The following is a 27727-nucleotide window of genomic DNA, read 5'->3' on the forward strand; positions in this document are numbered from 1 at the left end:
CCTGACTCTAGACTCAGAGAACTTTACTGCCATGGTAAAGGACTTAGCATAGCACCTTGCATATAGTACATGTTCAGTAGATTTTAGCTAGAGTTACATGGGCTTTAGTGTTAGTATTCAGTGTTAGTTGGGATCTGAGGTCCCCTTAACCTTCACTCCTTTTATTATTTGCTTACAGTAAAATAAAACACAGATATAGAAAACCTTACAAAACTGCTGTCTGGCTCAATGAGTTGTTATATGACACACACCATTTTAGCCACCACCAGGTCAAGAAATAGAACTTTCCAAGCTATCCGAAAGCCCACCATGGGCCCCATCAAATCACAGCCATCAATCAAAAGTAACCACAGTCTTGACTTTTGTGGGAATAACTTTGTTGGACTTCCCTTTCATTTCATCACCCAGTGTGTGTCCCTAGACACTATAGTTTATTCTTTGGTATATGTCTTGTATGTCTCTTAATTTACAGGCATCCATCCCCACCTCAACCCCTCCCCCAGTTCTTTCTTTCTTTTCCCTTTCTTTCTTTCTCTTCTCTTTCTCTCTTTCTCTCTCTCCCCTCCCTCCCTCCCTCCCTTCCTTTCTTGAGACACAATCTCACTCTGTCGCCCAGGCCGGAGTGCAGTGGTATGATCTCAGCTCACTGCAACCTCCGCCTCCCTGGTTCAAGCAATTCTTGTGCGTCAGCCACCCAAGTAGCTGGGATTACAGATGTGCCCCACCACGCCAAGCTAATTTTTGTATTTTTAGTAGAGACGGGTTTCACCATGTTGGCCAGGCTGGTCTCAAATGCCTGACCTCAAGTGATCCACCTGCCTCGGCCTCCCAATCTGCTGGTATTACAGGCATGAGCCACCCCACCCAGCCAGTTCTTTCCTTTTCTTACAATTTACCTGGCTTGCTTTCTAGGATTTTCTCACTCTTCCTCCCCACCCATCTCCTTGTAACTGGACTTCTTTTTCTTCATCTCTGTTGTCTGTATCCTGCTCAGTTTTTATTCTACTCCCAGCAGTTTTTCCCTTTGTGAGCCCATGTCCTAGAAGGGAGACCAAGGTGTCAGTTTAGGGAGTTCATAGGGGCTAAATTGCTCCAGATCCTCCACCTTTTTCTCAGATCCCTTATGCTCCCCAGCTGATGGCTCAGGCAAAATGCCTCCTAGTTTTAGCTGCCACTCTCAAATTGCTTCATGTGTTCTGCAGTAAGTTACTGCTCCTGTTTTGAGTTTCTCCTGTTCTCGGGTCTATCAGATACTACATTGCTTCCCTTCCCTCTGCATGCCCAGACACCAACACTGTGTGAGTCTTGGGGAAGTTGCTGCTTTATCCCCACAGCCTGTATTTGGGATTCATGGAAATACCTTGCCATTAATTTTTTTATTTTGTTATGTATTTTATTTGTTTTTATGTGGATATCAGGTAAACTGAAAAAGGGTACTACCAACGCTCTTATCTACCAAAGTCTCCTAGAACCCTTGATTCTTCTTTGATCACAGGATCCTGTTCAGATCTTGCTTCTCCTTGTGTGCATGCAAGACCACCAAAGTTACCCTACAAGGACTTGCTTCATGATCCACTGAACTCTGCTTTCTATCACTGATGATGGAAACATTGTGTTCTAGCGAGACAGGTTCATATTCCTTCACAACAGATTTTCAACTCAATTTAGCCATGAAAGAAGCTGCCAGGCAGAGAAGAGATCAAAGATCTTGTAGTAGGAGGCAGCTGGACTGGAAATTTAAGATCCCTTCCATCTCTAGTATCTTGGAGTCTCTGACAGTTCAGGAAGGACCCACCAAACATCCCCAGCTTCCTCTAATTAATCTTATCCTGAGAAAATAGTAAAAGTCTCTGGGGATTAGACCTCTAAGCCTTTGAATATGAGATTTCCAAAGGTCACCAGAACAAGACTGGAATCCTCTTCTCCCATTTTCATCATCATAGGTATGTAAGTGGTTTTATAAAAGAAGTTCCCATTTTTACTTAACTGAATTAGACACTATCCAAAGAAGTAAGCATTGTTCCTGCTTTTTATGAACTCATGGTCTGACTCAACAGTATAAATTGCCAGTTTTTATATTTGTTTTACTCATACTTTTAAGGAACCATGAAATAATATTTGGCACAAGAAGGAAAATTCTTATATGATCATAAGCATTAATGGCTTGTCAATGAGTTTTCCCATTTATAAAAAAATAAAACTTAAATACAACAAGGAGTTTTAGGATTTTGCTGAACACCTCTCACCAGTTATCTTTTGGAAAAATATTCAAGACTTTTTAGAACTCTGATGTTGGAGGAGGAAGAAAGGAGAAGATGTTAGCTTCTCTCTCTCTCGGCCCCTCCCTTTCCATCCTTTTCCAGGAGAAAAGAATAATCTGATGGATCTCATCTGAGGATGCTAATTAGGTCCCTATAATGTGTCCAAGAGTCACTGTGTATGTCATGTTTTGTTCTGGTGATAAAAGACATGTATTAGAGACCTAGAATATTCTTTTAGACTGCTTCCTGTTTTGTTCTATCAATAGTTTTTCAACCACATCCTGAGGACCCAAAAGATCTAAAGGACATCTGAGGGATCCTTAAAAATATTCTTCAAATTTCATGTTTAAATACATATAAACCACTTTAAAATCTGCAATAAACAAACATACCTTCAAATGTGCCACATATCAATTTTTAATGCTTTGAGTCTAACATATATATTAATGTATCTCACACTTTTGTGTCAAAGTATATATAAATCTTGAAATAAGTCTTCTGCTATCTTTTTATTAAAGAATTTCCTGACATTACAAGATGAACTGCTTTTAAAACCATATTATTATTACAACTAATCTGTTTGAGCCAGATTTTCTTAATATTGGATATATTAGATATGTTTTGGTTGCACAAGATAGAAATCCAAATCAAACTGGCCTAAAAGACAAAAGGGATATTACTGGTTTGTGTAACAGAAACGTCTAGGGGTAGCACTGGATTAAGTTCCAGCTAGATCCAGACACTTCAGTGGTGTCCTGTGCAGTCCTGAGCCCCTGCTCATCTGGGTAGTGCTTTCCCCTTGGTTGGCTTCTTCCTTTACGTAGTGCTGAGGTGTGGTTGCCCCCAGCAACCCCAGGCTGATGCTCTTCCAGCTTCGAGGCAGCAGGAAGAGCCTCTGTTTCCTGGTGCTCCTGAATCCCGCCTCCCAGACCTACCTCTCTAGCTGGGAGTGGGACCACCTACTCCAGAACGACATGACCAGAATTGGGGGTGGGGAGAGGTATGGAAAGTAGACAATAGAGACTAGGTCCACAACAGCAGTCCACTCTAGTGGGCAGGCTAAACAAATTACAGGAGCACACTGGACCCCAAGACTGCACTGTCCCCATTTGATATCTGTCTTTGATTTCAAACACCTGAGTTCCCCAGAATGGCCTCATTGTTCTTATATATTGATTGCATAATAGGTAAATATTATGCATTTGAATCTAAAAATAAAGTTAGGATATAAAATAGCTTTTTATCCATTTAAATACTTGGAGGTTCTACATAAGATCTGTCAAAAAAAAAAAGGGTGGGTTTGGTACCTTAAAAAAGTTGAAACTTATTACTGTACATGCATTTACTTCCAAGGTAAGTTCAGTCAATACAAAGGCTTCTTGGCCACACGAGCTCATGGTGATACCTGTCTCTTTTGTGTGTGTTTTACTCATTTGGATCTTGGTCTAAGAGGCTGTGAGGCAAAGCGGAAGCTTGTCATCAGAAGTTCAAGTCCAGGCTTTACTCGTTACTGTCCTTGTGACTTTCCTTATCTGCAAAATGGGAACAGTGACGGGAATCATAGAGGATAATTAAGCCAGAAGGTTTTGAGGGAAAGTTCTTTAAAATCAGTAAATGCTATGTGATTACAAAGTATTATCTTTCATCTTATGTTAATTATATATGTATGTTTGTTCAATGTGTTTATATAAAATTTAATTATCTATATATTTATCTAGTTCCCTTGAAGTAGATTAATTGCATTAATGACCTCATTTATTTATCCCTACCTTCATCCATATCCTTTGACATGCAGGTATATATTCCCTTCATACTGATTCTGCATTTAACCACATGACTTGCTTAGGCCAATAGTATGTTAAGTTAATGTGACACAAAGGCATGAAAAGCACTTGTACAATTGGGCTTGCTTACTCTTACTCCTGTACCTTTACCATGAGAACAGGCCTAGGCCAATCTGCTAGAGGATGAAACACATAGAACAAAAGCCATGTTGACCAGGCAGTCACGCCCATTGAGGTCATCCTAGACCAACGAATAGTCAGTCAACTCCCAGACATATGAGCCTAAACCAGAAGAACTGCCCAGCTGAGCCCAGCCTAAACTTCCAACTTGCAGATTTGTAAGCTAAATAAATACTCACCATTTTAATCCTCTAAGTTTTCGGGTTTTTTTTGCATCTTGTTGTGGTAATCAATAACTATTTCACTCCCTGATAAGGAGACCAAGAATTTTGTGTTACATCTTATCCATCACTGTGTCTTACAAACAGAAGTTAATAAATATTTGCTAATGGAAATATGTTAAGGACTCTCAGCTTTCATAAGGTGTCAAACTCTGAAGCTCTCCAATTTCTCCAACCCTCTAAAGTGATATGAGAGAAGTGGAATTCCAATATTATTTAAAGTTTTCTAACATTCAGATACTCTCTGAGGTAGTTTTTCTGCAGTACTTCATTTAATCTCCACAGTACCTTTGAGAGGCAGGTATGAATTTTCCCATTTTAAAGATGAAGAAACTGAGGATAAGAGAAGTGAAGTAAGTTACCTAAGGTCACACAACAAGAGTGGTAGAGCTGGATTCTCCCTGTAGGTGAGCCTGCTTCTCAGGCCAGTGCAATCTCTGCTACATTTGAATGCCTTACACCCCTTGCTCTAAGGGTTAGAACCACCTCATTTGGCCTTTCTCTAAATACCATCTTTTTCTCCAGTGGTGTCATATTTGTTTATCTTGGATCCTAGACCTTTATTAGATTTTATTTTCTCTCATCATACTGGAAGATAATCTATTTATTGATTAGCATACTTGTTTGATACTTTAAAAATTACAAATTGTTGATTTCCTTGTATTTGTTTCTAAGAAACTTTATTCATTGTAAATAAATGAGGGAAGAAGTTGCTTTCCAAAGATCTCGAGAATCTAGCATTTTCTTAGCCCAAATTTGGCCCTTACTCTGGGTTTCTGGCCCCAATATTTGAGTTGTTCTCCTCTCCACACCCAACAGAAGTTATTTTTAAGTTGCATTTTATCCAAAGAGCATTTTTCAAAGAATGCCTTGGAAGGTCCTGGAGTTTCTCTTCAGCTCAAGAACTGTCCCTTGGCCCCACCCCGTCAGTCTAGGGAGTTTATTTTGGTCTATGCAAGAGTCGCATGTTTTCTTTTGATGAAGTCATCTGGGTATTTTGCTTCCATGCCCTTGGTCCTATTTCCTTAAGAAAGGCTGGTCTCTCTGTGATCTGCCAGGGACAGAGAGGTGGGCCCTCTTTTCTGTCAGTTAAGAAGCAGAATCACCACGAAGACCCTGCCTCTCCAACCCCAACCACACCCATGGCTTCCCCTGGGTACCCCCCAATCCAAATCCTTCTCTTTCTTCTGAGCCCAGCCCATCCCCCTCTCTGCCACAGTGAGCTCCCTGACTCATGAATTTGTAACAATATCCCTCTTTTCTGAATGATTAGAAAACCTAAAACACTTGATTGTCTATTTATTTAGCACATACAGACGGTCCCCAGTGAATGATGATTCAACTTACAATTTTTCGACTTTACGATGGTGTAAAAGCACTACACATGCAGTACAAACCGTACTTTGAATTTTGAATTTTGATCTTTTCCCAGGCTAGCAATATGCAGGATGATACTCTCTCATGATGCTGGGCATCAGTGAGCCATAGCTCCCAGTCAGATGTACCATTAGAAGGGTAAACAACTGATAAGCTTCAGTGTGCTATATCCGATAAATTACCTAAGATAGTCAACACTTTATTATGAAATATGAAATAGGCTTTGTGTTAGATGATATTGCCCAATTCTAGGCTCATGTAAGTGTTCTGTGTATGTTTAAGGTTGTCAAGGCTAAGCTGTGATATTCATTGGATAGGTTAGGTATATTAAACATATTTTTTTAAAAAAAATTTATTTCGATAAGTTTTGGGGGAACAGGTGGCTTTTGGTTACAAGAGTAAGTTCTTCAGTGGTGACTTGTAGGATTTTGGTGCACCTATCACCCGAGCAGTATACACTGAACCCAATTTGTAGTCTTTTATCCCTCACCCCCCCACACACTTTCCCCTGAGTCCCCAAAGTTCGTTGTATCATTCTTATGCCTTTGCATCCTCATAACTTAGCTCCCATTTATGAATGACAACATGTGAGGTTTGGTTTTTCATTCTTGAGTTACTTTACTTAGAATAATAGTCTCCAATTCCATTTAGGTTGCTGTGAATGCCATTAATTCGTTCCTTTTTATGGCTGAGTAGTATTCCATCATATATATATAGCACAGTTTCTTTATCCACTCGTTGATTGATGGGCATTAGGGCTGGTTCCATATTTTTGCAATTGTGAATTGTGCTAGTATAAATATGCATGTGCACGTATCTTTTTTGTATAGTGACTTCTTTTCCTCTGGGTAGATACCCAGTAGTGGGATTGCTGGATCAAATGGTAGTTCTACTTTTAGTTATTTAAGGAATCTCCACACTGTTTTCCATAACGGTTGTACTAGTTTACATTCCCACCAACAGTGTAGAAGTGTTCTCTTTAAATGTATTTTTGACTAACACTATTTTCAACTGACAATGGGTTTATCAGGCCGTAACACCACTGTAAGTCGAGGAGCATCTGTACTTACTGGGTGTATACATGTGCCAGGCTATACCCTCATAGAGCTTACAGTCTACCATAGATGAAAAACCACAAATAAATATGATACATTCAGGTGGTGACAGTAATTATTTTAAACACAGGATAATGGAATGTAATAAACAGGAGGATGAGGAGGGTTACTTCAGATAGGGTGATCAGGGAAAAGAACTCTGGAAAAGTGACATGTGCATTGAAAGGACTCCACCTTTCCTCTGAGGGAAGAGTGGCCCAGGTGAAGTATATGATAAGTGCAAAGGCCGTGGGGCAGAAACTAGCCTGATGTGAGCAGAAAGAAGGCCTGTGTGGCTAGAGCAGAGAGGTAAGGGGACACTGGTGCTAGATAGGGTTGAAGGGGAAGGGTGGGCCTATCAAGTACACCAGAGGAATTAGTTTGGATTTTGCACTAAATTCAATGGAAGTATTGGAGGGTTTTAGGCATAGGAGGGATATCTAATTAATATTTATTAAAAATCTCTTTGACTGCTGTGTGGAGACTAGAATAACTAGAGGGATGCAGGAGGGTGATGGCTATTCTAGTAGAAATAATAGAGATTTGTACAAAGATAGAAGAAAGATTGTCATGATTTTTTTTACCAGCCTTTCCCTACATGTAATAATCTCCTTTCTATGTATATTAAGTTCATTTACTTTTAAACTTGGACTGTGTCTTGTATTTTGTTCTATTACTTACAAACCCAAGCCAGACTAGAACCAAGGCAGGTACTTAGATACGTGACCAATTAACTCTGTTTAATTAATTAATTTTTTTTTTCTTTTTGAGACTGAGTCTCAGTCTATCATCCAAGCTGGAGTGCAGTGGCGTGATCTTGCCTCACTGCAACCTCTGCCTCCCAGGTTCAAGTGATCCTTGTGCCTCAGCCTCCCGAGTAGCTGGGATTATAGGTGCCTGCCACCTCGCCTGGCTAAGTTTCGTATTTTTAGTAGAGATGGGGTTTCACCATGCTGGCCAGGCCTGTCTCAAACTCCTGACCTCAAGTGATCTGCCTTCCTGGACTTCCCAAAGTGCTGGGATTACAGGCGTGAGCCAATGTGCCCGGCTAACTCTGTTTAATTTTAAATTTCTATGTATTTAGATTAGGCATCTGGTAAACCACCCCTCCCCCAAACTGTAAGTTAAATTTGGAATGCACCTTTGAAGTCTTTGGGTCTAAGTCTACATTTCAATTTGCCACCTACTAAATCTTTGCATACCAACCTTCTTCTAGACTGATTCACAACAGAAATGCCCATGCCATTGGCACCAGTGTGAAGCAGTGTCTGCCTACTTGCAGATGTATGATTACCTGATAAAATAAACCCTGTCTTGTATAAGACATTCTCCTCTGGTCTCTGTACCTTGCAGCCACTCACAATCCTAACTGATATAATTGATCACTTGAACATTGTTCAGACATGCCTATACCTTCTTCCACTCTGTGAAACAGTCAATGACATATGGTGGTAGGTTCTGGGGCTCTGCCAGACACCCTTCCAAGGATTTCACACATTTACAAGGCAGCAGGTGACACCTGGGAAGTCTCCGGGCATTTTCAATGCCTCCTCTTCAACAATTTCCTCACTCACTGTCAGATCTCACATCTCACCAGCAAAGCTTATTATTCCAGGTGGCTAAACTCCTCCAGGTGAAGTGAGAATATCCTGACCTTTCTCTGTGAAGCGTCACTCTTTTTGTAAGCTCAAACAGTGTTGCTAATGGATGATGAGATGATCTACCGTGCACTTTGGTTCCTATAGGTTTCTTAGGTTTATTTGAACAAGTCTTTTCTCTGCCCCTGGTAGTTGGCTGGGTCGAGGAAAGGCAAGCCAAATAAAACCTCTGACAAACTTAAAGTTTCCTCTTTAGCTAGAGGGTACTTTTAGGGTAAGGGACTATTTGATTCTTTAGTATAAGATTTTTAGAAACAGAGGACTTTAGAGTCAGAAGAGCTCTTACACATCATCCAGTCATTTGGCAGAAGAAAAATGGGGAGCAGAAAGTTTAATTCCCTCTGACATTGGAACTATGCACTATTCTGAGTACCAAGGCAAGGCAATCTCATGTGCATAAAATATTATTTTACACTAGGCACTATAGTAGGTTTTATACACAAATTAATTTTATTTCTTCCTCCCAACAATTTTAGAAAACAAATGCTGATATCACTGTATTGCACAAGGGATAACTGAAGCCCAGAGTTTCAAAATCTTTAGACAATGTGGTAGCTTGCATTGTTATTTTCCATTTTCACCTCCTTCTCCCCATATTGGTATTTATCACTACCACATAGATGTTGGTCTTGGCAATTTGACTTGCTTTGACCAATGGAACATGAGCAAACACAGCATAGGTCACATCCATCCAAGTAAAGGCTTTTAATATGATTGCATGATTCAACTTGGTTTATTGTTCCTGTGCCCTCTGTTATGAGAAGTCATGTCCCAAAAGCTGCTTCTCCATTAACTTGGGTCTTGCAGTAAGAAATGAATCTGAGCCCACCAATGCCTGAGGAAGAGCTACAACTGACCTGTAGCCAACACTATGTAATATGAGAAAGAAAGAAATATTTTGTAAGCCATTGAGAGTTGGAATCTATTTGTTACACAGCATGGCCTAGTGAAAGGTAATGAACACAAATGGACAGAGCCGGGATCTATATCCAGACCTATCTGCTTCCAAATGCCATATCCTTTTCCCCACCAAACAGTCCTTTCTGTCCACTCCGGTATGCTTTAGCCTCAGTAGCAAATACTGCTTTTTCAGACCCATACCTTTAAACTCCCCTCTCCAGCACCCAAGACATTTTCCTTGACCATTTTCTTTAGGCTCAATATCTTGCTCACACAAGTGCCCCCCTACCAGCTCTCACAAAATGATGAACCGCCCTAGCCCACAAAGAAAAAGAGGGGCTGTCGTGCATAAACCCCTTCAGCTTCCCTCTTGCATTTCTAGATGTATCGATACCACTGCCTATTCTTCCTCATCACCTCTCACCTCCACAGAAAAGCTGTTCTATCTCCTGTCTAAGGCTGACCTCCCAAATGTTCTCTTTATCCTCCAGAATCTCACTCCAGCAATTATCGCTTTTTCTTGTTTCATTCCTTCATCTCTCTCCACTTCCTTTTTCTGTCACCCTACAAGCACGTTAAGTTTTCCTATTTTTCTAAAAAAATGCAAGAAACATCTCTAATTTTCTTTTCTTCCCAGGCTACTTTTTTATTTCTCACTTTCTTTTGACACCAAATCGATTCCCTTACCAGTTTTGCTGTTCTATATTTTTTACTTACAAAATCTGACAATCCTATCAACTTGCTTCTCTTCCAATCTAATCTCAATAGCAGGTTTTTCTTCCTCGAAATCTTCTCTCTCGAGGTACAATGATATTTCTCTTCCTACCTCTGTGACCACTCTTTTTCTATCTCCACAAGGGTTCTTCTGTTTTTACCTAGGCCATAAAAGTTGGTGTTCCCAGGGTTATGTTTTCAGTGCCCTTCTCACTCTAGGAAAACTGATCCACTGTTCTGGATCAGTTATGGGTGAAACCACTGTTACGGTTTCATCTCATTAATGCTGACTTCAAACATTCACTGCCAATTCTATTTACTATCTCGCCTTTTGAACATTACATCAACATACCCAGTAATTAACTGAACATATCCTCTTGGGTGCCTGCATGAAAATCTTGACCTCAACATTCTTTAAACCATACTAGGTCCTTCCTGCAAATACGTTCCTCCTCCTATGTTCTCTTCCTCAATTAAAAGCATCAATCGTCAAGCCCAAAAATCTCAAAGATGTCATTGATTCCCACCCTGTCCCTTAAGCATCTCATGAACTTAATGTCTGTCTTTATTCTGCTCTCTCCTATCTACACCATGGCTACTGTCCCAGTTCAGGTCCTCATTGTGACTTCCCTGCCCATCTCCTGTTCGCTAGTCTTATAACCCCTCCTGGCCATACTGTGCACTATAGCGAAAGTGATCTAAGTTCTTTACCTCTCTCCTACTTAATAACGTGATTGTTCATAGGACAAATCCTAACCACTTAATATGATATTCAAGGCTCATCAAAATCTGGTGTCACTGTATTCTTTCGGCATTACCTGCTGACACACCTGTTCTTGAACCCTATGCTGTAGCCACAATTGATGACTCATTATTCCTTAATCACAAACTATGTTTCACTTAACTTACTTATGCACGTTCCTTTGCAAACATTGCAAATATTACAAAAATGTTATTATATTCTCTGTCCAATAATCTTACCCCTCCCCTTCTACACACATACTTTGTTTCTCTGTAAAAAAATTACATACCCTGCAAAGATCATTTGAAATGGCAGCTCTTCTGCAAAAGCTCCCCGGTTCCCTCCATAACCAGTTTCCCTAAATAATGTAGCACGTAGTAGATTCTACTTCAGATTTGTCAATGAGTGAGTTTTCTAAGACATGCTAATATTAATGAACACATCTTATCTCTTTTTCAAAGAGAATATGATACTACCAGAGATGTGTCTTTTATGTGGTACTCGGGATTAGAAGGTAAAGTCAAAGGGTACAAATTTGCAGTTAAGTAGAATCAATAAGTCTAGAGATCTAATGTACTGCATGAGGCCTATAGTTAATCACATGTATAATGAAAATTTGCTCAGAGAGTATATTTTAAGTGCCCTTAGTACAAAAAAAAATAAGGTAACTATGGAAGATGGTGAATATGTTTCTTTGTTTGACTGTAGAAACTATTTTACTATGTATGTAAATATCAAAACTTCATGTTGTATACCTTAAATATATACCATAAAAATAAATATTAGAAAAAGAGTACAGAATTTAATGTCAACTCTGAGGGTGGTTTGGCTCTGTACTCTGTCACCCAAGTTGCTGAACTGAATTGACCACTAATTGAGCAAAAGCCCCTTTCATCCCTTCTAGCTCCACACATGTGCCCCCTGAAGCTCTCAACTCAGTCAAAGAGGGCAACTCTCCAAAGCATAAAACAGGACCACAGGATGCCAAACAGGCTTCATTCTTGGTCTAACACCTTAATCAATTAGTAATATCTTCCTAAAATACTATATGGAGACAAATTCCAAAGCCATGTCCAGACTTAGCGAAAAGGGTGGTATGACATTAGTTTTGCCTGCCACGGACCTGGACAGATGACTAGTAGCACTCATGTCATAATTTTGCCATTTTATCAAAGGTATTTGAATAGCTACAGTACCATTCTATAATCACCAAATAAGCCTCCATGGTTATGGTCTTAATGTGAAAATGTGTGTGTTTGCCTAAAGTCCTATTGGTACTTATATTCCCTTTAAATCACGTTTTTATTCATTACAGTTTATAGCTCTGATAAAGAATATTTAATTATAATATTTAAGTCAAAGAAAACTAACAAATACTTTTTTGAGCATACAGTATTAGACAAAGAAGCATGAAATATAGTCTCTGTCTTTAAGGAAATCACTATCTGGATAGAAGATGAGCCACAAATTCATTAAAATATTTCAAAGCTTTTGAGAGTTAAAATGACAATACAAATAAAAATGTAAACTATATTGCAATCACTGCATGGTTAATTGCCAAATGAGTGCTTTGAATTAGTGTGATAGAGACAGCATGAAGGTATTTGTTACACCCTTGATCACTTTTGCCTCTGGAAGGAAATGATTGGTGAGTTTAGATCCTTGCTAGAAAACACATGATGTAAAATGCACGCATGTCTGTGAGATGTGAGTATATCATCTCTGAGGAACAGTAAGACAGTAAGGAGGTTTTGCCTAATAGATTACTGTTCGCTAGTAGTAATGACTGATTTCGATTTTTTTCTGAAGAATTCCTCACTGGTTAGTCTCCCTGGTGGATATTTGAAGTGCACATCATCTGATGATCCAAATGGGGCTCTCCATTTCTTGCGAGGCATAAGCCAGTTCCATTCCTTGGCCACAGTGCTTGGTTCAGGAAAGAAGTGTGGCCACACCAAACTAATCAGGCTCAATTCTAGTTAATTGTGGGACTTCACTTGCAAGGCAAGGAAGAAAGAGTCATTCATACTTTCCCACCAGGCTTTCACTTGAAAGGCTATAACCACCAGCCTCTTTACCCCCTCCAGCCACCTTGTCCGTATGTGGAGTCTAGGAATGAAGGCACCACACAGAGGAGAGGATTGCAGAATCTAGAGACAGGGTCCTAGTAATATTTTTTTGTCCTGAACCCATCTGTGCCTGAAGCAAGATCCAATCTTGGACTTTTCAATTACATGCACCAATAAGTCCTTTTTCTTGCTTAATCCAGTGTGGGTTGAATTTCTATTATTTATAACTAAGAGCTCTTACTGTTAAAGTCCTTAGTCTCATTTCAATAGAACATCTTGAATATATCGTCTAACATACTTTACCTATAACATCTCACACTACACCCTTCTACTATTCTCCCAAAACTTGTTCATCCATAACTGACTCAACTCCTCCCACAATTTTCTGAAGTAAAAATAAGATTGGACAAGCATCATTGGCTTGTCCAGTTGATAGAAGCATTGACCTTAACCAAAAGGGGCTGAATTACTGATGCTCTGAATGGGAGTCCCCAAGTTAAAAACAAAAAATGCCTGGAGTAGAGACCAGGTCTCTTGATTCTTAGCCCTGGTACTAAATCTTACCCCCACCTCCAAATTTTCCCCCACATTTCATTTCTGCACCTGCTCACTTGTAGCATCATTCCCAGAACTGTGATTCCTAGTCTGATGTGGGTAGAATAGAAACACCTTTTCTGTTGAAAAACCTTCTAAAGGTTGCTGCAGGACCAAGGAGATTCTGTTGATTAGGGCTTCTTCAGCCAGAAAATTACCCCTGTTAAAGGATAATTAGTGCTTTGTGATGGTGATTATGATGATGATGATGGTGATAATGATGATGATGACAATGACAACACAGCATCAGAATGAAGAACTCTTCAAACGAGTAGCAGGCTCTGAGGAACCAAGACCCAGAGACTGACCACATTTGCAACTAGCAGTGACCACCACTGACAACTCATTGCCCTCAGCAGCCTTCACCCTCGCAGTGACATCTTGTGCTAAATTAAAATGTACTCAAGCTGGCCAGGTGCAGTGGCTCACGCCTGTCATCTCAGCACTTTAGGAGGCCAAGGCAGGCGGATCACAAGGTCAGGAGTTCGAGACCAGCCTGACCAACATGGTGAAACCCCGTCTCTACTGAAAATACAAAAAATTTAGCCAGGTGTGGTGGCACGTACCTGTAATCCCAGCTACTCAGGAAGCTGAGGCAGGAGAATCACTTGAACCCGGGAGGCAGAGGTTGCAGTGAGCAGAGATCACGCCATTACTCTCCAGCCTAGGCAACAGAGCGAGACTCTGTCAAAAAAAAAAAAAAAATGCACTCAGGCTGAGTGATGGAGTGCAGCATCATTGGAAATCAGAACCCCAGGTTCTGGAAGCCACTAGAGCCTGGCACGTAGACAGGGCCACTTGGCAGTACAATATCCCCCTAAGGGAGCGCACTGGAAGCGAAATAGATGAATTTGACAGTGTGAGCTATCACCAAACATAAAACTATTTCCCATGCAAGACAGTAAGACAATTCTGTCCTCTAGAGAAGGGGTTCCCAGTGAAAGGTCAGAACCTGCCTGGTGGGTCTCAGTCTTCCCAGGAGATCTTAGATGCCAGGGTGTAGCCTCCCTTATCCAGCCTACTGACATCAAGAGCTGATTTGCCTCTAATCCAATAGTAACCACCACTCAACCTACCCTCGCTCTTCTTCCACACTTTGATGGGTCTCCCACAGGGAGGTTAATTCTGGGCCTGAATCTTAATCCGACCTCCCCACTTCACTCAGAAATATTCTCCACACCTCTTCTCATCCCCACTCTTCATGGAATAGTATTTACTACCCTTCCAAGAAAGACCGAAATCATGTATTTATAAAGGCAACTTCATTGTTTTTAAGCCAATTTACCACAATCAACTTCAAATCAGTTATGAATGTCCATGCATTCACTCCTTTGGCACAAATTTATTCATCATCTACTATTGCAAAGCACCAACATGTCAGAATTTAAGATGTTAAAATTTAAAAGTTCTAACTATGTCAGGTTCACTATCATATCGTAGTCCCTAATCCGTGACTTGGCACATAATAGCATTCAATAAATATTTTTTGAATAAAGTAATAAGGAAATTTAAAGAAATTGAACATTAAAAACCTATGCCTCAAGAAGCTTATAGAAAGTCCTCAACTATATAAAAGTGAAGAAAATATTGCTAAGACCCTTCCTCAGTCCAAAATCCTAAGAATCTATGATTCAAAGTCTTAGTTAGAAGACAAAAAGGTTAAAAGACAGGGCAGGGGTTGTCACAAAGAGTCAATAATAAAAATCATAGGGCTGGGCATGGTGGCTCACACCTATAATGCCAGCAGTTTGGAAGGCTAAGACAAGCGGATCACCTGAGGTCAGAAGTTCAAGACCAACCTGGCCAACATGGCAAAACCCCGTCTCTACTAAAAATACAAAAACAATTAGCCAGGTGTGGTGGCACGCACCTGTAGTACAGCTACTCCAGAGGCTGAGACACAAGTATCGATTGAACATGGGAGGCAGAGGTTGCAGTGAGCCGAGATCACGCCACTGCACTCCAGCCTGGGCGACAGAGCGAGACTCTGTCTCAAAGAAAAAAAAAAAGAAAAAGAATAATCATATGAGAGTTAAAGATTGAATGTGTTAGAAGTGATCAGAAAAGGGAGAGATCTTTTAGGCCCACAGAAGGAAGTCAGAAAGAAAAAAACGTGGAGGAGATGGAACTTGCACAAGACCTTGAAGAAAGGAATTGTTGGGAAGGGCACAGAGCTAACAAAGCTGGGAATTATTCCAAGGGAACAGAGGAGCTCAGCCTTCAGGGGGCTCAAATGGGACAGAACTTTCTGAGCTGGAAGAAAAAGCAGCTAAAAGGAATGCAACACTTACTCCATGGGAAGTACTGTTCTACTTAGCTTATCGAAAGTTTTGCAAACTTTTAACATTATTTATTAAGTACCTATTATATTCCAGATGCTCTCCTTAGATGCTAGGGACACTGCAGTTAACAAAATGCTCCATGGCTTCATAGAGCCTCTCATGGGGAGAGCAGGCAATGCACAAAATAAGTAAAATACAGAGTGTGCTGAACGACGCTAAGTGCAATGGAGAAAAATAAAGCAGAGAGCAGGGATGAATGTTTGGAATAGAATGAAACAAAGTGGTCAGGAAAGAACTCGCTGAGAACATGATATCTGAGTGAAGACCTGAGGGTAGTGAGGGAGTGAGACTTGCAGGTGAAGAGCACTGACAGCAGAGGAACCGCGAGTGCAAAGGCCTCCAAGTAGAACATGTCCCATGTGCATGAGGTCAGCTGGCTGGAGCTAAGGAGGGGAGGGAGAGAAAGTCAAAGAGCTAACACGGGTCAGATCAGAGAGGCCTCGTAAGCTATTGTAGTGAACGGTGAGCCTCTGGTTGACTCACAAGCTACCCGTCATTCATTTCCCTTTACAAGGGGACTGAAGCTCTGCGAGGCCATGTGGCTTACCCGAGAGCACACAGATAACAGGTAGCAGAGCCAGGGTCTAAACCCAGGCCTCCCTGGCCCCTGCTACTTCACCTGACCCCACCCTCCCCTCTCTTCATGATTCATTCTTGTGTGTGTGTGCACGTGTGCATACACATGCATGCACACTCACACCTCGCCCTACTATTTTCATTCCTCCAACACCCCCAGGTCCTCCTTGTCTTCCCTCGTGCTGTTCCCTTTAGCTGGAGTGCCCTTCTCCTACTCTTGATCTGATGGGTACAGCTTTCGGGCCTTGGTTCAAATTTAATGGCCTTTCCTGACCCTCTCATATAATTTAGCTGTGCCTTGCTGTACCTTCTCAGGGCCTCCAGTTCTACTTTCCTTTGTAATTACATGTTTATTTGTGTATTCGTTTTTCTTCCCCCACAAATTCTCCCGCCCCAGACTGTGTCTCTACCCAGCACCCAGCCCAGTGCCTGGCACATAGGAGGCACACAATAAACATGTATTGAGTAACTGAGAAGACCAAAAGGGTAAAGACAAAGTAGGAAGACCTCAGAGAGGTTTCTGGGCATCAGTAAGAAAAGGAAACCAATGGCTGTTGCAAGAGAGATTTGGGGTTATCTGTGGCCCAGCCTGTTTCCTGCCTGGTTTTGGAATGAGATGCTGCAGGCTGTCTCTGGCTGCTCCACAATCTAATACATTCATCACGTGACTCACCACCACCCCCCAGCAGCCTCTGGAATGAATGTTATTTGGAGTAATTGGCCAAGCACTTAGAAAATGCTAAGGTTTATTTTTAAATATGATTACGACCTGTCTTTTGCTTTCCGGAAAATCACGTGTGCTCTTCAGAGATACAAAATCCGATCATTGCACTTTTAAAACCAACGTTTTAATCTTGTCCTCTAAACAAACTTGCTAAGTTGGTTTAGGGGAAAAGCATAACCATCCCCATTTGATTGATAGGAAAACTGAGGCTTAGGGGAGATTAAATGCACCATCTCAGGCCAAATAGCTATTGAGAGTAGCTATCTTGAAACCAGAGAAAGCTGCATCCACTCTACTATCCTGCCTCCCCCATGCAAATAATGCAGATGGTCCCCCAAAGAGAAGAAGAATCTAGAAAGAGGAAACCATGGCCTTCTTGGTTTGGTGTTTTATGTGGCAGCAGGGCAACCAATCGTTCTAATTAGGCCACAGGAAGCCTGTTTCTCTTTAAGAACCTATTAGCAAGCTGGCAAAATCTCATCCCATTACCATGTAAATAAATAAGGATAAATTTTCCCACATCAGCCTCCCAGGGCTGAACCAAAACTCTCCTCCTTTGCATATTTTCGATAACCTGCTTATTCTGGAATACCTCACAATTAAAGATAGCATGCTCTGGACATCAGTAATTCATCGTGGAATGGGAAAAAGGATGAGATAATTAACATTCTCTGGCTGGCTTTGGCTGGGAAGTAGCTTAATAAGCACAAGGGCGTGTTTTGGGCTATTTCCATCATGAGGGTAGAATAAATAAAATGGATCCTTTCGCACACTAGACTTGAAGGATTCGTGTCAGGCTAGTTGGCCCCAGAGCTTTCGGAGTTGGGTTTAGATCTCCACTGTGGCAAAGGCAGCTGATCAGCAAATGCAGCCCCAGGGCCGGACTGGGTAGGTGGGTTACAGGGAGTAAGGGCAGCATGTCTCAAAGCCACTCTTTAAGCTTCTAGCTCGTACTGTAAGCTTTAACTTTTCGGTGAACTGCTCTCTGACCTTCCATTTTTTTCTTCTCTGATTCCTTTTATCAAGCCATATAACTTTGATGGGCCCTCCTTAGTTTGCCCTTCTGTAAAATGGGAAAGATAATGTGATTTCGAGTAATTGGCCAAGGACTTAGGCAGGGGTGTCTAATCTTTTGGCTTCCCTGGGCCATATTGAAAGAAGAAGAATTGTCTTGGGCCATGGATAAAATACACTAACACTAACAATAGCTGATGAAAAACAAAATCACAAAAAAATCTCATAATGTTTTAAGAAAGTTTACAAATTAGTGTTTAGCCTCATTCAAAGCTGTCCTGGGCCACATGCAATGCGCAGGCCTCCAGTTGAACAAGTCTGCCTTAGAGCAAGCAGGATTACTGAGGATTAAAACATCATCATTATCATCATCGTCATCATCAGTGTCATCACTATCCCTTATGAATCATTTATGATGTGTCGGGTTTTATCATGTGCTAGATGTATTTCATTTGCATTATTAAGTTTGATGCCTACTGGGATAGATGATCAGTCTTCAAACCTCAAAATAAGCTGGAAATAGAGTTTTTAAAATTTTGTATCACACGGTTGAAAATAAACTAATGAAACACAGAACCCCAAGGGGGATAGCACAAGCAGTCAGAGAGTTTGAGTATATTTATGCATGACAGAGCCATAAATGGGTGCTGGGATATACCTAACCTTTATGGTTGACGTCATGGGGGAAATGGTTTCTCTGTCTACTAACTGAGATCAAGGAAGGGTACAGCATGACTGTGCCCTCTGGGTGCCCATCCCGTGGGACCTCTGTTGGCAGCAGACTATGAGCCTGTGTGGACTTGTGTCTGTCCCAGTATGGCAATTCCTATATTTTATGTTGTTATGATTCCTAAGAGAAAAAAATTTTTTCAGCTGAGACTCTTGTTTCTACGATGATGCTCTGACGGGTACCTTTATTCCTTCTACATTCTATTTTCTTAATCGAAGTAGTGAAAATTAGTAGCAATTTACTACAGCAAGTCAGAAAGGAATTGTCCTAAAATGTCTGAGCATTTTAACCAGCACATGGAAAACTGTCCCCCACCTCTGTCCTATTTGCACACTGTAACATCCCTCACCCATCTTTGCCTCCTTTCCTTCAGGCCTTGTTGAAGGATCACCCTCCTCTAATCTAAGAATTTAAGACTAATCTTGCCACTTGCACTTCATTTTGGTACATACTGCTCAGGTATCTGACCTTATCTGTAAACTCTTCCTCTGTCCATCTTCAGTTGCGCTCAACTCTCTGGCTGGCTCCTTCACAGAAATAAACTTCTTCATCTCTCCCACCATCTTAAAATAAGCCCTCATCTTAAAAATAAGCCCTCCCTTGATCCCTTATCCTTTTCCAGCTACTGTCTTATCTCTTGCTCCCCATCAAAGCCAACAGTCTGAGTTGTCTTCCCTTATGTCTCCACTTCCTCACCTCCCACTCTTGCCCCTGCAATATAGGCTGGTTCCACTCCTGGTTGACCTCTGAAATTGCTCTCACCGAGATTATACGCTTGGTAGTCCAATCCAACAGGCACACGGAGCCACCTTATTCAATGGCTCTGTGGTAGTTGACAGGGAGGGCCTCCTTCTTAACACTCTACTCTTGGACTTCCCAGGGTGAGATTTCCTTGCATTTTTCCTCCTCATTTTTCTTCAGAGGTTATTCCTGATTGAACCTTTTCTAGGCTGTCTTCCCCTTTCACTTCACATCATCTTTTTGGGAAATTTGATGTTATCATCCAGTCGATATGCTCTCTCCCAGACAGAGCATGTCTATCACTCTGCTGTCCATATCTCCATCCCAGATGTTTTCTCCTCAGTCCTTGGACACTTACTCCTGCCCGGACTTCCCACAGGCCTCTTGTATGAGTTTCCCACTGCTGCTGTAACAAATTGTCACCAACATAATAGCCTAAAACAACGCAAGTTTGTTATCTTACAGTTCTGGAGGTCAGAAGCCCAAAATCAAGTGGCTAGGTGGACTAAAATCAAGATGACAGGAGAACTGCATCCTTTCTGGAGGCTTCAGGATAGAATCTATTTCTTACTTTTTCCAGCTTCTAGAATTGCCTGTATTCCTTAGCTCATGGCTCTGCACACTCCAACCTTGGCTTCTGTTGTCCATCTCCTTCTCTGACTCTTACCCCCTTTCCTCCCCTTATAAGGACCGTTATCATATTGGGTCCACCCAGATAATCCAGAATCATCTCCCCATCTCAAAATACTTGAGTTAATCTCATCTGCAAAGTCTCATTTGCCATATAAGGTAACATATTCACAGGTCCTGGAATTAGAATGTGGACATTTTGGAGCAGCATTTATTCAGCTTACCATCCCCCTAAAACTCAGTTCATGCCCGAATCTGAAATCATTTTTCCCACCAAGATGAACTATGACTATCCATCCCACTGAGCCAGCCAGAAACAAACATGGCATTATCCTGACTCCTTTTCTCGCATCCCTATATCCAATCAACGAGCAAATCCTATCAATTCTTAATGTCTGGCCAATAGAGTCACATCTCTCCACCCCTCCTACTGGTGTCTTGATTTGAGCCACCACTGTTTCTCATCTGGGATACTGCCACATGCTTTTTTCTGCTGTTCTTGCCTCTGATCTTGACTCCTCTCCTCCATTCTGAATGCTGTCCACAGAGTGTTCTTTAGAAAACACAGATGTTAAAGTTCTTCCAACTACTACCACCACCACCATTACCAGGATAGGAAAGGCTCCTTAATTATAACATTGTGATATGATAAAAATATATATCTGGTCTTCATCCTGGGCTCCCAGCACAGAGCTCCTAAAACCCTTGGAATTTCCTGAGTCTTAGGGGCAAGATGAGCGTCTTTTGTTATTCACAACAAGCCTAATGAGGTGACTCCTGGAAGATGCAGGACGGTTGCCAGAGAAACCAACCATGTGATTAGAGGATTGGAACTTTTAACCCCAGCCCCAGAAGGGAGCTGGGCCTCCTTAGAAGGGAGAAGGGCTGGAGATTGAGTTCAATCCCCAATGGCCAATGATTTAATCAGCCATGCCTATGTAACATAGCCTCCATTAAAAAAAAAAAAAAAAAAAAAAACATAAACTAGGGGTTCAGAGAGCATTCAGACTGGTGAATATATGAAGGTGCTAGGAGGGGGGATAAGCCCAGACAGGGTATGAAGCACCAGACAGCCCCTCATCCCCATAACTTGCCCTGTGCATCTCTTCCATTTGACTGTTTCTGAGTTGTAGCCTTTGCAATAAACTGGTAATGGTAAATAAAGCACTTTCCTGAGTTCTGTGAGCCACTCTAGCAGATTGTCACACCCAAGAAGGGTGTCCTGGGAACCCCCAATTTATAGCCAGTCAGAGAATATGGATCATAACCTAGGACTTCTGACTATTGTGTGAAGTGGGCTTCGGTGCTGTGGGACTGAGCCCTTAACTTCTGGGGTCTGTACAACTCCAGGGAGTTAGTGTCATAATCGAACAATGGGGCACCAAGTTGATGACCAGAGAGCTGGAATATTGCTTAATGTAAGGAGGGAACTCACTCATGTGGTTGCCTAAATTGTTCTCGGAGTATAGAGAAAAGCAGTTTATCCCTTTTACTAATGTATAATTAACTTCAAGGTCCTTCAAGACCTGGCTCCCTATTTGCCTTTCCAACATCATCTCCTGCTGCTCTCCTCTTGCACTCTTAGCCTTTAACCACATGGAACCACTAGCAATTCCCAGATAGGGCTGTGGACTTTTGCACTTGCTGCGTCATCTACTCTAAATTACCTTCTCTGCGACACATCTGTCACTCTTCACCTAGCCAACCTCAATTCATCCTTTAAAACTAGCTCAGTTACCATCTCCTTCAAAAAGTCTTCCCTGATGTTGCAGATGACACAACTGGCCTGAATACTTCGCCCCTTTCTACATCCTCACCCTTTGCAGGGTAGCTTAACAGCTCATCCCATTAGGAAGGAGAATCTGGGTGGGGCATGGTGACTTATGCCTGTAATCCCAGCACTTTGGGAGGCTGAGGCAAGTGGAGCACTTGAGGTCAGGAGTTCGAGACCAGCCTGGCCAACATGGAGAAACCTTGTCTCTACTAAAAATATAAAAATTAGCTGGGCTTGGTAGCACACACCTGTAATCCCAGCTACTCGGGAGGCTGAGGCACGAGAATCGCTTGAACCCAGGAGGCAGAGGCTGCAGTGAGCCAAGATCACACCACTGCACTCCAGCCTGGGTGACAGAGCAAGACTCTAACTCAAACAAACAAAAAACAAAAAGAAGGAGAATCTATTTCCATACTCCCCACAATTTTCTCATGTGGCTTGCTTTGGCCAATGGGGTGTTAACAGCTTCACATGCAGAGATGCTTTGCTTTTGGGATTTTGTTTTGCTGTGACAGCAGTTTCCTCATCCTGCAGCTCCTTTGGTGGCCCAGTTCTGTGTCGTGGTTTGCAAAGTTGTCTTCCAGGAAGCTTGCCCTAGAGACTGTTTATTCAGCCCACCGAACGATTGTATGAAGTATTTAGTAATAATACTCCAACAAAAACAACAAAAATAATAATAAACATTTCTATCTATTTATTAATAAATTCCTTCCCACTTAACTAACTAGAATGGATTCTGTTGTCTGTAATTAGGACCTCTAACTATTATGGAGGAGGAGAAAAGGAAAAATGAGAAGAGGAGGGAAGGAGGGAAATAAGTGAAAGCGGAAGCAACTGGCTGGGCGCGGTGACTCACGCCTGTAACTCCAGCACTTTGGGAGGCCGAGGCGGGCAGATCACCTGAGTTCAGGACTTTGAGACCAGCCTGGCCAACATGGTGAAACCCCATCTCTACTAAAAATACAAAAATTAGCTGGGCATGATGGTGCATCCCTGTAATCCCAGCGACTTGGGAGGCTGAGGCAGGAGAATTGCTTGAACCTGGGAGGTGGAAGTTGCAGTGAGCCGAGATCGCACACCTGCTCTCCAGCCTGGGCGACAGAGCAAGACTCTGCCTTGGAAGAAAAAAAAAAAACGGAAGCAGCAACAAAGATGACGGCTTATTTTCTCTTTATACATTTATTTAAAGTACGTTAAATCCATGCAAATATGTTCATGTCATGCTACATTTTTAAATTTTATTTTTTTAAATATATAATATAATCAATTTTTGCAAAGAAAAAATCATGTACACATATATGCATATAGATTGATAATAAACATTTTAAAGAACACAAACATAACATACACGTTGTTATTTCTAGATAATGGAATGAAAGATATTTTCTTTTTGATTATTTTTAATTGTTCTGGAATAAGCACAGATAATAATAATAGGCACTATTTAATAAATGGTGCTGGGAAAACTGGCTAGCCATATGTAGAAAGCTGAAACCGGATCCCTTCCTTACACCTTATACAAAAATTAATTCAAGATGGGTTAAAGAGTTAAACGATAGACCTAAAACCATAAAAACCCTAGAAGAAAACCTAAGCATTACCATTCAGGACATAGGCATGGGCAAGGACTTCATGTCTAAAACACCAAAAGCAATGGCAACAAAAGCCAAAATCGACAAATGGGATCTAATTAAACTAAAGAGCTTCTGCACAGCAAAAGAAACTACCATCAGAGTGAACAGGCAACCTACAAAATGGGAGAAAATTTTCACAACCTACTCATCTGACAAAGGGCTAATATCAAGAATCTACAATGAACTCAAACAAATTTACAAGAAAAAAACAAACTACCCCATCAAAAAGTGGGCGAAGGACATGAACAGACACTTCTCAAAAGAAGACATTTATGCAACCAAAAAACACATGAAAAAATGCTCACCATCACTGGCCATCAGAGAAATGCAAATCAAAACCACAATGAGATACCATCTCACACCAGTTAGAATGGCAATCATTAAAAAGTCAGGAAACAACAGGTGCTGGAGAGGATGTGGAGAAATAGGCACACTTTTACACTGTTGATGGGACTGTAAACTAGTTCAACCATTGTGGAAGTCAGTGTGGCAATTCCTCAGGGATCTAGAACTAGAAATACCATTTGACCCAGCCATCCCATTACTGGGTATATACCCAAAGGACTATAAATCATGCTGCTATAAAGACACATGCACACGTATGTTTATTGCGGCACCATTCACAATAGCAAAGACTTGGAACCAACCCAAATGTCCAACAATGATAGACTGGATTAAGAAAATGTGGCACATCTACACCATGGAATACTATGCAGCCATAAAAAATGATGAGTTCATGTCCTTTGTAGGGACATGGATGAAATTGGAAACCATCATTCTCAGTAAACTATCACAAGGACAAAAAACCAAACACTGCATGTTCTCACTCATAGGTGGGAATTGAACAATGAGAACACATGGACACAGGAAGGGGAACATCACATTCTGGGGACTGTTGTGGGGTGGGGGGAGGGGGGAGGGATAGCATTAGGAGATATACCTAATGCTAAATGACGAGTTAATGGGTGCAGCACACCAGCATGGCACATGTATACATATGTAACTAACCTGCACATTGTGCACATGTACCCTAAAAGTATAGTAATAATAAAATTAAAATAATAACAATAATAATAATAATAATAGGCACATCTCATTTTCTCCATACCCTATTCTTATTCTCTAATCTTGGTGGGTAATAAGTTTTTCAGACACTTCAGTCCTTGCAAATGGATGCAAGGCCTAATATACAGTACACATTTATCCCTAAATGGTGTCCCTATTTTTACAGAAAAGCAAGGCTCAGAGAGATGGCATAACTGATCCAACTGAACTCCTTTTAACATGCTAACCTCTACAGGTAACAAATGCCAGCCAGGACATTAGCAAGAAGCACTGGCTTCTAACCATTTTGGTCATTTAATAGCTATGTAAGCACTGGACTTTTCCAACTTCTGTGAGCCTCTGTTTCTTTCACCTGAAAATTGGGTATAATAATGGCACCTACCTCCCAGGGCTGGTGTAAGTCTCCAATGAGATATACATATGGAAAGCTAAGGACACTGCTTAGCAATAAATGCTCAATAAATATTAGCTGCTACTATTACTATTATTATCCTACTGTAATAGGGTTACTATCATTAGCCTACATTATTACTATTTTATATTACTCTAATTACTATTACTACAGTTCTTATCCTACTGTAATAGAATTCTATCGCTCCTATTTCTTTAATTCTGAGAGAGTCAGGTTGAGATGCTGCCCTAATTATCTGTGTGTTCCCAGTATCCAGCATAACAGATACTAATTTAAACGAGTGAGGGTGTGGGTGGATGGATGGATGGATGGATAGATGAATGGATGGATAGATGAACTGAGACAGGTAGAGAGATGGGATGTAAATAAATGTGTGCTATGGACAGGTGGATAGAGGGGACCTTAAGTAACTTAGTATGTCAAATGCCTGAATAGGAAGGCCGGTAGGTGGTTGGCAGAAGAGTGGACGGGTGGATGAATGATCGAACGGGTGGATGGGTGGGTGGGTGGATGGATGAAAGAGAGGGGTCTTAAGTGACTTAGTGTGAGAGCCTGAATGGCTAACGGTAGAGCAGGTGACTGAATGAGGGGTGGACGGACGCCCAGATGCCTGCTTCCTGGCTTTTCTCCCGCTCTGTCTTCACAGCCTGCCCTTCCTCGGCTCCAAGGCGCCCCCGAGGGGTGAGCTTCCTGGGCGCGCTCCGCAGCGCCCTCCGCCCCTAGCTCGCGGGGAGGGCGTCGCGCGGCTGTTCAGCGGGGCAGCGGCCTAGCGGCGCGGACCTGGGTCTCCTCCCTCGCACCGGGCCGAGCGCCGGGCTCGTCTGCATTGACGTCTGCGGCGGCGGCGGCGGCAGCAGCCGGGCTCTCGGGAGCCTGGGTGAATTATGATGCACATCCACCGCGGCTGCTAAAAAAAGGGCAGTGACTCACCACCGGCCGCGGAAACTTCCACGAGCGCCGGCCGCAAAAAGGCGGGGGCGCCAGGCCAAGGGCGGCTGCGCCCGGGGCGCGCGGCAGCAGCCAGGTGTGTCTCGAAAGCAAAACGGCGAGGACCGTGGCGCGGGGTCGGGCGGGAACCGGAGAGACCTGGGGCCTGCGCCTCGGCTGCTACCGGCCTGGGTTCCACAGCTTGGCGCTCAAAGCCAGCCCTTGCCCGGAAGAAAAAAAAAAAACAGATGTGATGTGGCAGGTGACAAAGGGGAGAGCAATAGCTCATACTCATCGCTCTACTACATGTGCTAAGGTCATAATTCACTTAACCCTCAAAACAGCCCTGAAGGCAGGTCACGTGATTATCCCTGCTTTACAATGGGGATACTAAGGCCAGAGAGAGAAAGGGGCTTGCCAGCGGTGGCAGAGCTCTCAGTATACCCAATAAAATAGTAATGTGGCAGCACTGTGGAATCCCTGCCGTGTGCCCAGGCCTGTGCTGGTGCTACAGAGATGGACAAGAGTGGTCCCGCTGCGAGGAGCTCACCGTATAGCACTCTTTCTGAGATATGTCCAGAAGCATTTACCTGGGGGGACTCAATTCCATCCCCTTCCACCCGACAAATATTTTCGAGCTCTGCTGTGTGCAGAGAACAATGGCAGAGGAGACAGAGGGTTACAAAGGTGACTAAGGCAGCCTTAATTTATTTTTTGTGCATTCACCAAGTAGTTAGTAAGCACCTACCATGTGCCAGGTGAGCGAGGTAACACTGACCTGTCCCAGCTCTCATGGAGCGCACGTTCTAGCAGGGAAGACGGGTAAACAAGGTGTGAGAAACGCTACATTAGGGGGCTGGAGGCACACGCAATACAGCGAAGGAGCACCCAGCCTAACCTAGGCAATCAAAGAAGGTTTCCAGGTGGCAGTAACTTTGAAGCCAAGGCTGGGAAGCTAATTGGAAGTTAAGCATATGGAGAGGAGGTTCGGGAAGAGAGTTTCACTCAGAGAGAACAGCATGTGCCTAACCCCAGAAGTGCCAGAGATCATGACGGGTTTGAAAAACTGAAAAGCATTCAGTATACCTGCAGCAATGGGGGCAAAGGAGGAAAAGTGGAAAACAGGAAGCTGGGAGCGGGTTCACCCCAGGCACCTGTTTGAGGGCTAGCGACTTAGCCAGAGGGCAAACGAGCTAACAGCTCAGACAATAGCCAGCTGCATTTACAAGGACAGAGGGAAATCAGTTCTATTGGTAACAAAGCCGGCAGAATGAATGCCCTACTGGTGGGAAAGGAAGATCAGGGAGAGCTTCCTGGTGAAGGAGGCATTCAGGCTGTCCCTGGTTGATAGAGTTTCTGCAGAAGAGGAAAGGAGAACAACTAGGAAGAGGCATGGATGCCATAGCGCCTCACCCAGGCCCTTCACGGATCCTCTTGAAAGGCCAGAGAGCCATTTGCAAGACTAGGGCTAATGCAGTAAGCTTCTTCTAGGGTCTGGGGTATGGGCGAAGTGGCCTTCAATGAGCTCCATGTGAAAAGGAGGCACAGCCCTGGTCTTTAAAGA

General features: G+C 42.3%; 1 long non-coding RNA gene across 1 annotated transcript, besides 7 other annotated features; it reads right to left on the reverse strand.

Annotated features, from left to right (window-relative positions):
- Window positions 1-899: 899 nt before the first annotated feature.
- On the reverse strand, window positions 900-13730 carry LOC105377688 (uncharacterized). The gene is made up of 4 exons (XR_001742949.2): window positions 13604-13730; window positions 4405-4473; window positions 3569-3793; window positions 900-1039 (listed from the first exon to the last, which is right to left on the reverse strand). It is a non-coding gene; the product is annotated as an uncharacterized LOC105377688 (long non-coding RNA).
- Window positions 25701-26215: an enhancer, noted in NCBI's record as "H3K4me1 hESC enhancer chr5:159200044-159200558 (GRCh37/hg19 assembly coordinates)". NCBI's record gives its function as "activates a minimal SCP1, AML or CMV promoter by ChIP-STARR-seq in naive H9 embryonic stem cells {active_cell/tissue: H9 hESC(naive)}" and the evidence as "EXISTENCE:reporter gene assay evidence [ECO:0000049][PMID:30033119]".
- Window positions 25701-26266: a biological region, named in NCBI's record as "H3K4me1 hESC enhancer GRCh37_chr5:159200044-159200558".
- Window positions 25917-25966: a silencer, noted in NCBI's record as "silent region_16572". NCBI's record gives its function as "represses an Ori minimal core promoter by ATAC-STARR-seq in GM12878 lymphoblastoid cells {active_cell/tissue: GM12878}" and the evidence as "EXISTENCE:reporter gene assay evidence [ECO:0000049][PMID:35858748]".
- Window positions 26137-26266: an enhancer, noted in NCBI's record as "active region_23551". NCBI's record gives its function as "activates an Ori minimal core promoter by ATAC-STARR-seq in GM12878 lymphoblastoid cells {active_cell/tissue: GM12878}" and the evidence as "EXISTENCE:reporter gene assay evidence [ECO:0000049][PMID:35858748]".
- Window positions 26216-26728: an enhancer, noted in NCBI's record as "H3K4me1 hESC enhancer chr5:159200559-159201071 (GRCh37/hg19 assembly coordinates)". NCBI's record gives its function as "activates a minimal SCP1, AML or CMV promoter by ChIP-STARR-seq in naive H9 embryonic stem cells {active_cell/tissue: H9 hESC(naive)}" and the evidence as "EXISTENCE:reporter gene assay evidence [ECO:0000049][PMID:30033119]".
- Window positions 26377-26466: an enhancer, noted in NCBI's record as "active region_23552". NCBI's record gives its function as "activates an Ori minimal core promoter by ATAC-STARR-seq in GM12878 lymphoblastoid cells {active_cell/tissue: GM12878}" and the evidence as "EXISTENCE:reporter gene assay evidence [ECO:0000049][PMID:35858748]".
- Window positions 27144-27651: an enhancer, noted in NCBI's record as "NANOG hESC enhancer chr5:159201487-159201994 (GRCh37/hg19 assembly coordinates)". NCBI's record gives its function as "activates a minimal SCP1, AML or CMV promoter by ChIP-STARR-seq in primed H9 embryonic stem cells {active_cell/tissue: H9 hESC(primed)}" and the evidence as "EXISTENCE:reporter gene assay evidence [ECO:0000049][PMID:30033119]".

This window comes from Homo sapiens, chromosome 5 (assembly GCF_000001405.40).
Source record: "Homo sapiens chromosome 5, GRCh38.p14 Primary Assembly".
NCBI classification, from domain to species: domain Eukaryota; kingdom Metazoa; phylum Chordata; class Mammalia; order Primates; family Hominidae; genus Homo; species Homo sapiens.